Source organism: Homo sapiens, chromosome 7 (assembly GCF_000001405.40).
Source record: "Homo sapiens chromosome 7, GRCh38.p14 Primary Assembly".
NCBI classification, from domain to species: domain Eukaryota; kingdom Metazoa; phylum Chordata; class Mammalia; order Primates; family Hominidae; genus Homo; species Homo sapiens.
Window position 1 is genome coordinate 32556233 of NC_000007.14, and position 14472 is coordinate 32570704.

At 40.0% G+C, this 14472-nt stretch overlaps 1 protein-coding gene across 13 annotated transcripts in view; it reads left to right on the forward strand.

Moving 5' to 3' along the window:
• The window catches only part of AVL9 (AVL9 cell migration associated), a 93238-nt gene that overhangs the window by 60744 nt on the left and 18022 nt on the right, over positions 1 to 14472 (forward strand). For 4 of the 13 annotated variants that reach the window (XM_005249668.3, XM_005249669.3, XM_011515227.3 and 1 more), the window contains exons 9-11: positions 2327 to 2396; positions 2697 to 3232; positions 13788 to 13934. In XM_005249668.3, the coding sequence (XP_005249725.1) occupies positions 2327 to 2396; positions 2697 to 3232; positions 13788 to 13934 (753 nt within the window). Of the gene's footprint in view, positions 1 to 2326; positions 2397 to 2696; positions 3233 to 6325; positions 7952 to 13787; positions 13935 to 14472 lie in introns of those variants that run through there. The other 9 variants (NM_015060.3, NM_001410870.1, XM_047420072.1 and 6 more) reach the window with 4 other exon arrangements.

The window sequence follows — 14472 nt, forward strand, 5'->3', positions numbered from 1 at the left end:
GGCTGGGCACAGTGGCTCACGCCTGTAATCTCAGCACTTTGGGAGGCTAAGGTGGGTGATCACTTGAGGTCAGGAGTTTGAGAACAGCCTGGCCAACATGGTGAAACCCCATCTCTACTAAAAATACAAAAATTAGCCAGGCATGGTGGCAGGTGCCTGTAGTCCCAGCTACTCAGGAGGCTGAGGCAGGAGAACTGCTTGAACCAGGGAGGCAGAGGTTGCAGTGAGCCAAGATCACACCACTGCACTCTAGCCTGGGTGACAGAGCGAGACTCCATCTCAAAGTAAATGAATGAATGAATGAATGAATGAGTATTCCTTCAAACAGAAAAAAAGATAAAGTTTTTTTTTTAAAAATGAACCCAGCATATTAGTGTGGTATTTCAAAAAATTTTATTTAATTTCTAAAATTGTGATAAAATACACATAACATACAATTTATCATCGTAACCATTTTAAGGTGTACAATTCAGTGCTATTAAGTACATTCATGTTATGCAGCCATCATCACTATCCAGCCACAGAACACTTTGAATTCCTTTTTATTTTTTGAGACAGGGTATAGCTCTGTTGCCCAGGCTAGAGTGCAGCGGTGTGATCATGGCTCACTGCAACCTCTAACTCCCAGGCTCAAGCAATTCTTCCACCTCAGCTTCCTGAGTAGCTGGGACCACAGTGCTGGGATTACCAGCATGAGCCACCACACCCAGTCTGTATTCCTTTATATATGTCCATTTTTTCCCCTGAATCATAATACCTTGAAAGTAATTTGTAGACATTATGGTACTTCACTCCTAAATAAATACTTCAGGATATATTTCTTAAGAAAAAGAAAATATTCCTACATAATCGGAATACCATTTTCACATTCAGGAAATTTAACATTGAGATAATAAGAGAAATCTGACATAAGTCCATTTTCAAATTTCCCCAGATATGATAATGTCCTTTGTAGCTGATGTTTTCTTTTTTTATTATTATTTAATTTTTTATTTTAAAGAATAGAGATAGGGTCTCGCTGTGTTGCGCAGGCTGGTCTTGAACTCCTGGCCTCAAGTGATCCTCCTGCCTCAATCTCCCAAAATGCTGGGATTACAGGTGTGAACCACCACACCTGACCTGATTGTTGTTTTCAGTCTGGGATCCAGTCAAGGATCATGTACTGCATTGCTAGCTCTCTTTTATTTCAAAAAGGTATTCCACCTTTGTCTCTTTTTTTGTTTGTTCTTTTCTTTCTATATTTTGTGACACTGGCATTTTAAAAATAATCAAGACTAGTGTTCTAGGGTGAGATTTGTTTGTTTTGTTGTGGCTAGTTTCAGATTAAACCTTTTTAGCAAAAATCCTACACAGGTAGTGGTGTGTCTCTGTCAGGACATGATATCAGGAGGCCCATAACTATTTGTAGTTAGTAGTATTGGTGATGTGAAGTTCGATCATTTGGTTGAGGTGGTGGTTGCCACCTCAATAGCTAATCCGTAGAATGATAAATTTCAGACATTGTGACTATCCTGTTGTTTCACAGTAGTTTTAGCATCTGTTGGTAATTTGTACCTAAATCACGGTGGATGCTAAATGGTGATTTGTCTGTTAGTACTTCTATGTTTATTAGCTGTTACTCTTTTTTTTTTTTTTTTTTTTGAGACAGAGTCTTGCTCTGTCGCCCAGGCTGGAGTGCAGTGGCGTAATCTCAGCTCACTGTAACCTCCACCTCCCGGGTTCAAGCAATTCTCCTGCCTCAGCCTCCTGAGTAGCTGGGATTACAGGTGTGTGCCACCATGCCTGGCTAATTTTTGTACTTTTAGTAGAGACGGGGTTTCAGCATGTTGGTCAGGCTGGTCTCGATCTCCTGACCTCATTATCTGCCCGCCTTGGCCTCCCAAAGTGCTGGGATTACAGGTGTGAGCCAGCCACCAAGCCCAGCAGCTGTTATTCTTCTTTTTATGAGACAGAGTCTCGCTCTCTAGCCAGGCTGGAGTGCAGTGGTGTGATCTTGGCTCACTGCAACTCTGCCTCCTGGGTTCAAGTGATTCTCCTGCCTCAGCCTCCTGAGTAGCTGGGACCACAGGCGTGTGCCACCATGCCCGGCTAAGTTTTTGTATTTTAGTAGAGACGGGGTTTCACCATGTTGGCCAGGATGGTCTCGATCTCCTGACCTCGTGATCCACCCACCCCGGCCTCCCAAAGTGCTGGGATTACAGGCATGAGCCACTGCGCCCGGCCAGCTGTTATTCTTATATAAGGAATTTTTCCCTCTTTTTTATTTGTTATCATTATGGACGGCTTCATGGGTCTTCTAATTTGATTTTGATTGACTCCATTCCAGGTTCTTTTTTATATTTCTCCAGTGAATAAATTGGTGGGTGCACTGATGACTGTGTTATCCCTTTTTCCAGGTAAGAAAACAGCAGTATCTACTCTTTCTTTTGTTTAACTTGTACTGGAACCTAAACTTTTAGAAATAAAGTTTCAAAGATAAATTCGTTAGGGTTATCCTTTCTATTTTAATATGACGTCTTCCTTTTGGAAATAGGTTTCTCTCTTTTGTCTGGGCTTCTTTCTGTTCTTTTTGTTTTTAATTAAAATGTGTACAAGCATAGCTTATTAAATTTTATAGGGGAGTCTACTAATATATAGCTCTCAGGTTCTTCCATATTATTATAAGCCAAGCTGTTCTTTGATATTGCATATTTTAGGCATGATTGAACATGGTCTCAGTGACTGTTCTCAGTATAGACCCCGGAAAAGTATGTCTGAAGATGGTGGGCTTCAGGAAAGTAACCCATGTGCAGATGATTTTGTTTCTGCATCCACTGCTGATGTTTCACATACCAACTTGGGAACTATCAGGAAAGTCATGGCAGGAAACCATGGAGAAGATGCTGCCATGAAGACTGAGGAGCCTTTGTTCCAAGTGGAAGACAGCAGCAAAGGGCAGGAACCCAATGATACCAATCAATATTTGAAACCTCCATCTCGCCCATCTCCAGATTCTTCAGAAAGTGACTGGGAAACTTTGGATCCTAGTGTCTTAGAGGACCCCAACTTGAAAGAAAGGGAACAGCTGGGATCAGACCAGACAAATTTGTTTCCAAAGGACTCTGTCCCCTCAGAGAGTCTTCCAATTACTGTACAACCTCAAGCTAATACGGGACAGGTAGTCCTGATACCAGGGCTCATTTCGGGTTTGGAAGAGGATCAGTATGGCATGCCCCTGGCCATCTTCACAAAGGTAAAGTGTAATATTTTTTATCGAATTCCTTAAAGAATTTGAAAAATCCTTTCGGAGTTTAACTTTTGAACTTTTGGTATTCAACACATTTTCAGGTGGAAAAATTTCCTTGAAAACTGTAAAGTACAACCAAATACATAGTACTGTGGCATCCGTGACCATAGTATAAGTCTATGGGGAAGTATATAGGGGATTTTGATTGGTAAATGTTTTGAAACTTAGTAGATATGAGTCATATGCACAATCACTCTCTTGGGTCTATTTTTAATTATTCAGGTTTCTCCTTAAAAACAGAATTAAGGAAGTCCAGACAGCCTTGATTGCACTCAATAAATACAGGCACACCTCAGAGATACTATGGTTCAGTTACAGAACACTGTGATAAAGCGAGTCTCAGGAATTTTTTTGTTTCCAAGTGCATATAAAAGTTATGTTTACACTATACTGTAGTCTATTAAGTGCGCTGTAGCATTATGTCTTTTTTTTAATGTACATATCTTAATTTAAAAATACTTTAGGCCGGGCACAGTAGCTCATGCCTATAATCCCAAAACTTTGGGAGGCTGAGGCAGGAGGATCACTTGAGGCCAGGAGTTTGATTAGCCAGATGTGGTAACTCGCGCCTGTGGTCCCAGCTGCTTGGGAGGCTGAGATTAGGAGGCTTGGTTGAGCCCTGGAGGTTGAGGCTAAAGTGAGCTGTGATCACACCACTGTACTCCAGACTGGGTGACAGAGGGAGACTCTATTATTTTTTAAATAATAAATGTTTATTATTTAAAATTTAATAATTATTTTAAAAAAACAACAAAGTGAATAAAACTTAAATAATAATGTTAAAAGCACAATAAAGTGAAGTACAATTAATTATTAAATAATTTTTAATTTATTTAAATATAAATGAATAAAAATCCTTTGTTGTCATTTCAACAACATTCACCACATCTTCTTCACTAGGAGCAGACTCCATCACAAGAAACCACTCTCCTTATTCATCCCTAAGAAGCAGCTCCTCATCCGTTCAAGTTTTTATCAGTAGTTTGCAGCAATTCAGTCACATTTTCAGATTCCACTTCTAATTCTAATTTTCTTGCTGTTTCCACCAAATCTCCCCCAAGGTCTTGAACCCCCCAAAGTTATTCATGACAGGGGTATCAACTTCCTCCAAACTCCTGTTAATATTGATATTTTGACCTCCTCCTGTGAATCACAGATGTTCTTAATGGCATCTAGAGTAATGAATCTTTTCCAGAAGACTTTCAATTTACTTTGCCCAGATCCATCAAAGGAATCACTATCCATGGCAGCTATAGCCTTATGAAATGTGTTTCTTAAATAATAAGATTTGAAAGTCAAAATGACTCCTTGATCCATGGGCTCCAAAATGAACGTTGTGTTCCTAAGCATGAAAAACATTAATCTCCTTGTACATCTTCATTAGAGCCCTTAGATGACCAGGTGCATTGTCAATGAGCAGTAATATTGTGAAAGGAATCTTTTTTTATTTTCTTCTGAGTAGTAGGTCTCAACAGTGGCCTTAAATATACAGTAAACCATGCTGTAAAGAGATGTGCTGTCATCCAGGCTTTGTTTTTCCATTCTAGAGCACAGGCAGCAGATTTAGCATAACTCTGAAGGGCCCTAGGATTTGGGGAATGGTAAATCATCACTGGCTTCAACTTAAAGTCACCAGCTGCATTAGCCCCCAGTAAGAGTCAGCTTGTCCTTTGAAGCTTTAAAGCCAGGCATTGACTTCTTCCCTACCTACAAAAGTCCTAGATGGCATCTTCTTCCAATAGAAAGCTGTTTTGTCTTTATTGAAAATCTGTTGTATTCAAAATCTGTAATCACCTTCATCAATGACCTTAGCTAGATCTTCTGAATAACTTGCTACAGCTTCTTCATCAGCACTTGCTGCTTCACCTTGCACTTTTATGTTATAGAGACGGCTTCTTAAACATTGTGAGCTAACTCTGCTGGCTTCATACTTCTGCATCTTCTCAGCTCTCTCAGCTTTCATATAATCGAAGAGAGTTAAGGCCTTGCTCTAGATTAGGCTTTGGCTTAAGGGAATGTTCTGTTTGGTTTGATCTTCTATCCAGACCACTCAAACTTTCTGCATATCAGCAATAAGGCTGTTGTTTCACTTTCTTACCATTTGTGTGTTCACTGGTTTAAAAAACAAAACAAAACAAAAACAAAAACACTTTTAGTAGCACTTTTAATTTCCTTCAAAAACTTTTCTTTTGCATCGACAACTTGGCTAACTGTTTGGTGCAAGAGGCATAGATTTCTGTCTGTCTCAGCTTTTGACATGCCTTCCTTACTAAACTTAGTCATTTCTAGCTTTTGATTTCAAATAAGATGTGAGACTCTTACTTAAACACTTAGAGGCCATTGTAGGGTTGTTAATTGGCCTAATTTAAATATTGCTGCATCTCAGGGGATAGGGAGGCCTGAGGACAGGGGAAGAGACAGGAATGGCCAGTCAGTGGAGAAGTCAGAACACACACAACATTTATTAAGTTTGCTGTCTATGTGGGCGTGGTTCGTGTCACTCAAAACAATTACAATAGTAACATCAAAGATCACGGATCACAGATCAACATAACAAACACAATAATAAGGAAAACGTGTGAGATGTGAGAATTACCAAAATGTGACAGAGACAGGGAAGTGAGCACAGGCTGTTGGGAAAATGGCACTGACAGACTTGATGTTTGCAGGGCTGCCATAAACCTTCAGCTTAGAAAAAGCACAATAAAGTGAAGTACAATAAAAAGAGGTGCCTATGTATATTAAAATACTACAGTTTTAAAAGAAAAAAGCTTAGATGTCTAACTTATATCACTTATAAGTGAGGTAAGTTATAACTAACAAATACAAATATTATACATATGTATTTACTAAGTATACTTAACACATACACTTATTAACTGTACTTATATTAGTAAACTTCATTTGAATATAACTGTTTTGGCTAATTGTTCTAACCCTATTTTTTAATCTTTTTATAAAAACCATTCAGAATGTATTTGAAATTTTTTAATAACTTAAATGCAATATAGTAAATCAAATTGAATCTTTAATTCACAGTCTTTTCAGGATATCATTTCTTAATGTCAGTAATGCATTAAGATGAAGCAGTCAACTTCACTGGGTCAAAAGTTACACTGGACTGGACATAGCATCTCACACCTGTAATCCCAGCACTTTGGGAGGCCGAGGTGGGGAGGATTGCTTGAAACCAGGATCTAGAAACCAGCCTGTGCAACAAAGCAAGACGTCATCTCTACAAAAAAGTAAAAAAATTATCTGGACATGGTGGCATATGCCTGTAGTCACCGCTACTTGGGAGGCTGAGGCAAGAGGATCTCTTGAACCCAGGACTTTCAGGCTGCCATGAGCCATGACTGTGCCACTGCACTCCAGCCTGAGCTTTACAGTTTAGAGTAAGACCCTGTCTCTATATAAAAATAAATAAAGTTACACTGATGCTGAGTCACTTACATAGATTGGCATAGTATTTGCATATAACGTGTGCACATCCTTCCATATATGGTTTTTGTTGTGTTTTGTTTTGTTTTTGATACAAAGTCTTGTTCTGTCCCCCAGGCTGGAGTACAGTGGCGTGATGTCTGCTTACTGCAACCTCCACGTCCCAGGTTCAAGCGATTCTCCTGCCTCAGCCTCCCTAGTAGCTGGGACTACAGGTGCCCATCACTCTGCCTGGCTGATTTTTGTATTTTTAGTAGAGACAGGGTTTCACTATGTTGACCAGGCTGGTCTCAAACTCCTGATCTCAGGTGATCCACCCACCTTGGCCTCCCAAAGTGCTGGGATTACAGGCATGAGCCACTGTGCCCAGCCTCTCCCGTATACTTTAAATTACCTCTAGATTATTTATAATACCTAATGCAATGTAAATGCTATGTGAGTAGTTACTATGCTGGGGTTAATTTAGTATTATTATTTTTCTCAATATTTTTAATCCAAGGTTGGTTGAATCTGGTATGTGGGAACCCATGGATGTGGAGAACCAACTGTATTTCTTGCCCTTCCATGAGCCAGACACCATACTAGATTCTGAATTCTTGCCATCTGTGATCTTGCAGTCTACCATGAAAGGCAGTCTACCACCTTTTCAGTTACTAGAACAAAGTATTCTGTTTTTCCCTGAATACTGTCTGGTATCCATGAAGTGGTATTCCACTTTTATGTGGAAAAGAAAGATGGGTAGTGTTGGCTTGAACAATGTATGTATTCCTCTCCTATATTATTCGATAAATTATTTCTGGGTTTACCCAGCTTTGCAAAAATGTACTTGCCCAGAGTCATTGTTGGTGAATAGTTAATACAGAATGCCATCTTTGTTCATTTTGTAACCTGCTTGGGATTCTGAAATTATCTTAACTGATTTCATGATTAAATCAATGCAGTTTCTTAAAACTGGAATTTAAGAACTTGGGAGAAAACTCGGGTTTCTCAGACTACTGGTAAAGCAAGTAGCCACAAATTGCGGGCTTTCTGAGCTGTGTTATGACTTCCTATACCTTTCGGAGCCCTGACTTTGCTATTTCACCGACCTGCCCTCTAATTTTTACTATTGTGAAGATATCAAGAGGGAAATTAACTGTAGAGGGATTTAGGTTTTGTCAGGTTGCTGACAAAGCAATGTAAAGATGTATTTTGTGTCTTGTCAATAAAGCATGTTTAGCGGAATATTAGATTTGTGTGCCGTATACAATATCAGTATTAAATACGTGATGGGCTTACTAACATCCCTATAAAATATTTGTCTTTTTGGTTTTATGTTTTTTGAGTGTTTGGATGAAAATCTAATTTCTTTAATCACAGTTTCAAATGCCAATGCTGACTTTTTCATGTCAGTAACTTTGGAATATAAAATATTCTTAAAACCGAATTGTCTTTAGGCTTTTTTCTCTTGAAGATCTTAAAATCCTTGTACAGAAGGAATTAGGTTAGCAAAACATTTTGAAAATAATTTTAGAAATAGCCGGAGAGAAGCCTGGGTGCCTGGGGAATATTGCTGAAGTAGAGTAGTTATCATATGAATAAATGGAAACAAATTTCTACATAATAAAATAATTATTTCCGGAAGAAAGTCTTCAGCTTACCAACTTTCTAATCCTCTCTCTGGTACTTGAACTTGCCTGAGGTTGATGCCTTTCATGTCAGTTTCAGAGAGGAGGCTTACTATGTAAATGCTGTGAATACTAGCTTCTAAAATATCCTTCTCAGGAAAGCCTGAGAGCTGATTCAGGAAGTGTAGAGAAGAAACAGCTGCTAAGGAATAAGAGGCGGGGCTAGAGGCAGCTGTGGGGTAGGCTGCCTATAGGGTGATGGGAAGGCAACTGGGACACTGAAGGAGAAGTACGAAAATTAGAGGATGATTTGTGCCTGTGTAATATTTGTGCTCTGCTGCTCCATCACTTTCTAACCAGAGGAACATTGAAGTGGAATGAGGGAAGTGGAAAAAAAGATAACGAGGAAGATACAGTAGCTATTTTCTGATGTGAAAAGACAATCCTGAGGGCTTTTCTTCCATTCTTCCCTGATTTTAAGTCTTCCCATCTTGTTACTGAAAGTGTTCTGGAATTGGCTGCACATTGGAGCAAAATAGTTAGTGGAGGACTGGCCAGAAAGGACTGGAGCCCTTGGAGCTCGGAGTCCCACCTGACTTAATCTCATGCATCAATTTTCTCCCTCTTTTCTAGTTACGAGATTATTGCCATTATTTAGTAAAATTAATTGAGTCACTATAATAGAACTCTATTTAGAAATTACCTCAATGCGACTGGGCGTGGTGGCTCACGCCTGTAATCCGAGCACTTTGAGAGGCCAAGGCAGGCGGATCACCTAAGATCAGGAGTTTGAGACCAGCCTGACCAACATGGAGAAACCCCGTCTCTACTAAAGATACAAAATTAGCTAGGTGTGGTGGTGCATGCCTGTAATCCCAGCTACTTGGGAGGCTGAGGCAGGAGAATCGCTTGAACCCAGGAGGCAGAGGTTGCGATGAGTGGAGATCGTGCCATTGCACTCCAGCCAGGGCAACAAGAGCAAAACTCCGTCTCAAAAAAAAAAAAAGAAAGAAAGAAATTACCTCAATGCAATTATTGTCGATTAAAAAACTTTAAAACAGCCAAGGCAGAAGAATCACTTGAGCTCAGAAATTTGAGACCAGCCTGAGCAACATAGTGAGACCTCAGCTCTACTAAGTAAAGTCAAAAAATTAGCTGGAGCCAGGTGCGACGGCTCATGCCTGTAATCCCAGCACTTTGGGAGGCCGAGGCGGGCACATCATCTGAGGTCAAGAGATCAAGACCATCCAGGCCAACATGGTGAAACCCCATCTCTACTAAAAATACAAAAATTAGCTGGGCGTGGTGGCATACGCCTGTAGTCCCAGCTACTCAGGATGCTGAGGCAGGAGAATCACTTGAACCCGGGAGGCGGAGGTTGCAGTGAGCCAAGATCGTGCCACTGCACTCCAAAAAAAAAAAAGGCTGGGTGTGGTGGCATGTGCCAGTAGTCCCAGCTACTTGGAAGGCTGAGGTGGGAGGATCACTTGAGCTCAGGAGGTCAAGACTGCAGTGAGCCATGGTCATGTCAATGCACTCCAGCCTGGGCAAAAGACCAAGACCTCATCTCAACAAATTATTATTATTTTAAAAAAATTTTAATTATTATTATTATTTTTTTTTTTTGGAGACAAGGTCTCACCACTCTTGCCCAGCCTGGAATGCAGTGGTGCAATCTCGGCTCTCTGCAACCTCCACCTCCTGTGCTCAAGCGATCCTCCCACCACAGCCTCCCAAGTAGCTGGGACTACAGGCACCTGCCACCACGCCCAGCTAATTTTTTGTGGAGATGGGGTTTCATCATATTGTCCAGGCTGGTCTTGAACTCCTGAGCTCAAGCAGTCTGCCCACCCTAGCCTTCTAAGTAGCTGGGACTACAGGTGTGAGCCACCATGCCCAGCCAAAATAATAATGTTTAAGGCTAGTCAAATGAAGCACTGGGGATAGAGAATAAAAATAAAATAGTATATAAATACTAATATTTTAAAAAAGTTACCTACAATCTAGTAGGCCAAACAAATGTGACTTTTGGCCAGGTGCGGTGGCTCACACCTGTAATCCCAACACTTTGGGAGACCGAGGCGGGCAGATCACGAGGTCAGGAGATCGAGACCATCCTGGCTAACACGGTGAAACCCCATCTCTACTAAAAATACAAAAAAAGAAATTAGCCAGGCATGGTGGTGGGCGCCTGTAGTCTCAGCTACTCCGGAGGCTGAGGCAGGAGAGTGGCATGAACCCGGGAGGCGGAGCTTGCAGTGAACCGAGATCGCGCCACTGCACTCCAGCTTGGGTGACAGAGCCAGACTCCGTCTCAAAAAATAAATAAGTAAATGTGACTTTTAGTGTTTGAGAGATAGGGAAGATTATTTCAAGTATTGTTCTGTTTTGCTGAGTCTTAAAACTTTTCTAAAGAGCAGTAGCCATTTCTTTGTTTGGCTTTTATTATATCTGGTACTTTTTTAAAAAATACACAATTGCCTCCCCCAAAAGATGACTTAATTTATAATTCTCTTAAGTTTCATTTTATTTGTAACTTTGTTTGTTTGTTTTTGAGATAGAGTTTTGCTTTTCACCCAGGCTGGAGAGCAGTGGTGTGATCTCAGCTCACTGCAGCCTTGACCTCCTAGGCTCATGGGATCCTCCCACCTCAGTCTCCTGAGTAGCTGGGACCACAGATGCAGGCCACCATACCTGGCTAATTTTTGTATTATTGGTAGAAATGGAGTTTCACCGTGTTGCTCAGGCTGGTCTCAAACTTCTGAGCTCAAGCAGTCTGCCCGCCTTGGCCTCCCAAAGTGCTGGGATTACAGACATGAGCCACCACACCTAGCAAGTAATGCTACAATTTTAAAGCTGTTTTGAACTATTTTAAATAATTGTATAAATATGTAATGTTTCCACTTAGTTCAATATTTGAAAGATTTCAAAGCATCGCTAATAAAAAGTCTCCCTTCCATTTCATCCCCTGCTATCCAGCAGCCCTCTCCAGCGGCAGCCAACATTGTCACTGTCTTATGTTTGTTTTCTTCTGGGGGTATTCTATGCAGAAACAAATGCATATTTTCCCCTCCCTTTTTACAAATGGTAGCAGAATGTGCCCATTTTTGCCCTTTATTTTTTATTTATTTTATTTTATTTTTATTTATTTATTTATTTATTTTTGAGACAGAGTTTTGCCCTTGTCACCCAGGCTGGAGTGCCGTGATATGATCTCAGCTCACTGCAACCTCCACCTCCTGGTCTTTTCAAGCGATTCTCCTGCCTCAGCCTCTTGAGTAGTTGGGATTACAGGCACTCGCCACCACAGGTCCAGCTCATTTTTATATTTTTAGTAGAGACAGGGTTTCACCATGTTGGTCAGGCTGGTCTCAAACTCCTGAACTCAGATGATCTGCCCTCTTCAGCCTCCCAAAGTGCTGGGATTACAGGTGTGAGCCATCGCGCCCAGCCCTTTTTTTAATTTAATTTTTCTTTTTTCTAGACACAGTGTCTTACTATGTTGACTGGCCATTCTGGAACTCCTGGACTCAAGCAGGCCTCCCACTTTGGCCTCTCAAAGTGCTGGGATTACAAGTGTGAGTCATCGCGCCCAGCCCGCTTATTCTTTTTTTTACATCATATTCTTTTATTTATTTATTTTTTTTTTTTTGAGATGGAGTCTTACTCTGTCGCCCAGGCTGGAGTACGATGGTGCCATCTTGGCTCACTGCAACCTCCACCTCCTGGGTTCAAGCGATTCTCCTGCCTCAGCCTCCCAAGTAGCTGGGATTACAGGTGCCCGCCACCATGCCTGGCTAATTTTTGAAATTTTAGTAGAGACAGGGTTTCAGCATGTTGGCCAGGCTGGTCTCGAACTCCTGACCTCAAGTGATCCGCCTGCCTCAGCCTCCCAAAATGCTGGGATTACAGGCATGAGCCACCATGCCCAGCCCATAATATTCTTTGGAGATGAATATCATCACTGTTTATGGCTGCAGGTTCATTGTATGGATGAACATTTATTTAGTCCCCTATTCATGAAGAGTTTGGATTCGAGTTTTTTGGTATTGCATTTATTTTCATAAATATAATATCACATATGATATAATATTTGTAGGATACTGTAGGATAAATTACAAGTAGAATGCTGGGCCAAAAGGCATACATATTTATAAATTTTTAAAGGATTTTTAAACATTTCTTGAAAGCTTTGACCTACTTTTTAAAAACATACTTTTTAGTTTTGTTATTATTATGAAATATAATACTGATTCTGAATGAGGAGCCTGGGTTGAGAAGCTCTATACTGAGCATCTCTAATGCAAAGGTATAGATTTATTTTTGCTGCTTCTGTTAGGGTCTGATCAAGCAACAAAAGACATTTTCAAGAGTAAGAATATAACCAAATTACCAGACATATATTCCAACTTTTGGAAGTCTTCCCTTTCATGTTAAGTATTTAACAACCACCTGTTAGTTACACACAAAGCGCTCTCCTAGTTGGAATAAAGAATATCAAGTTGCAAAGCGGATATCCCCTGCCTTCAGAGAGATTTGTCTCATGATGTAAACACGATATTATCCAGATGACATAATTCTGTGTTTTAAAAAGTGATGAGATGTAAAAAAATAAAACTTATAGAACTTGAGGCTGAAAACAAGTTGAGGGGCTCAGTGAGTCTGCCTTCCTGGCTGTATATACAAGTCATGCCACTTGTTGAAAACCCATTCTGATTTAGAATCTTTCAGCAGAAATTGCATATCTTCCTTCAGTCAATCATTCCAGTGTTAACACTTGTACTCTCAGGAAGTATGCTGGATTTTTTCTATACTTAGATGCCTGCTGCAGTTTAGCAATTCCACTGTAATTTTTGGAGCAATGCTGTTTTCAAATAAAATTCAAATGGAAATTAATTAAATACACAGATACTACCAGTGTCATTTTTGCTTTAAATATTTAGTAACAAATATCTTGAAATCTTTTTGCATGATTTTTAACATAGGACGGTATAACAAATGCTATGTAGTACCTTGCTGTTCTCCTAATAGTGCTTCGGTGGTTATGTGCAGATGCATGTATTTTAAATTTTTAACAGCCTTCTACTAAACAACGTACTTACTAACAGGCTTAATGCTTCATTTCCTAAGTGAAAAGGTTCAATTCATTAGTTACTGTGGAGACTTTTAAATTGAATGAGAACAAAGTGATCAAGAAAGACAACCTTCATATTAAACCACCTTGCCAAGATTTGACCATTCATGGAGACAATTAGCTAATCATTAACTGGACTTACTGTAGTCAAGACTTGAAGTTCCCCTGGAATATTATTTTATTGAGTCAAAGATTAGCTGACTTACAGACAGGGCAAGGAAGAATGGAAGTTTCTTTTCCTACTGTTAGCTCACTAAGTTTAAAGAGAAAGGTAACCTTTTACTTTTCTGATATTTTCTATTACTCTTCTAATTCATAGGGATATCTGTGTTTGCCTTACATGGCATTGCAGCAGCATCATCTTCTCTCCGATGTCACCGTTCGGGGGTTTGTTGCTGGAGCTACTAACATCCTTTTTCGACAACAGAAACACCTCAGTGATGCCATTGTGGAAGTACGTTTATGTGTGAGTGTGTGTATTTGGCCCTGCTCATCCCAGTTTTCCTTTCTTAACTACAATTATGAATACATAGTAACAACATTAGTAATGATAATAACTGCATACTGTATGCCATGTATTCTAAGTATTTTATGTGTATTAACTGGTCTAATTCTCATAAAAACACAGTCAATAGCACTGTCCTATCCACATTTTATACCTGCAGAGGCTAAGTAACAGAGAGATGAAGTGATTTGTACAATATCAAACAGCCAGTAAACAGGTAAACCAGGATTCCAACCTGGGCAACTGGGCCTACCACTACCTCATGATTTTTAACATGTGTTTGTTGTTTAAGTAATTTCAATCCTTCTAGCCTGTTTAGAATGCTCTTGATACCAAGACGAAAGCTAGGAATAAATATTTGACATCAATATATACGAAATTCAAATCATTTGTTATTTTACAACTGAAATAATCTTTTTTCTTTTTTTTTTTTGAGACAGTTTCGTTCTTGTTGCCCAGGCTGGAGTGCAATGGCGCGATCTCGGCTCCATGCAACCTC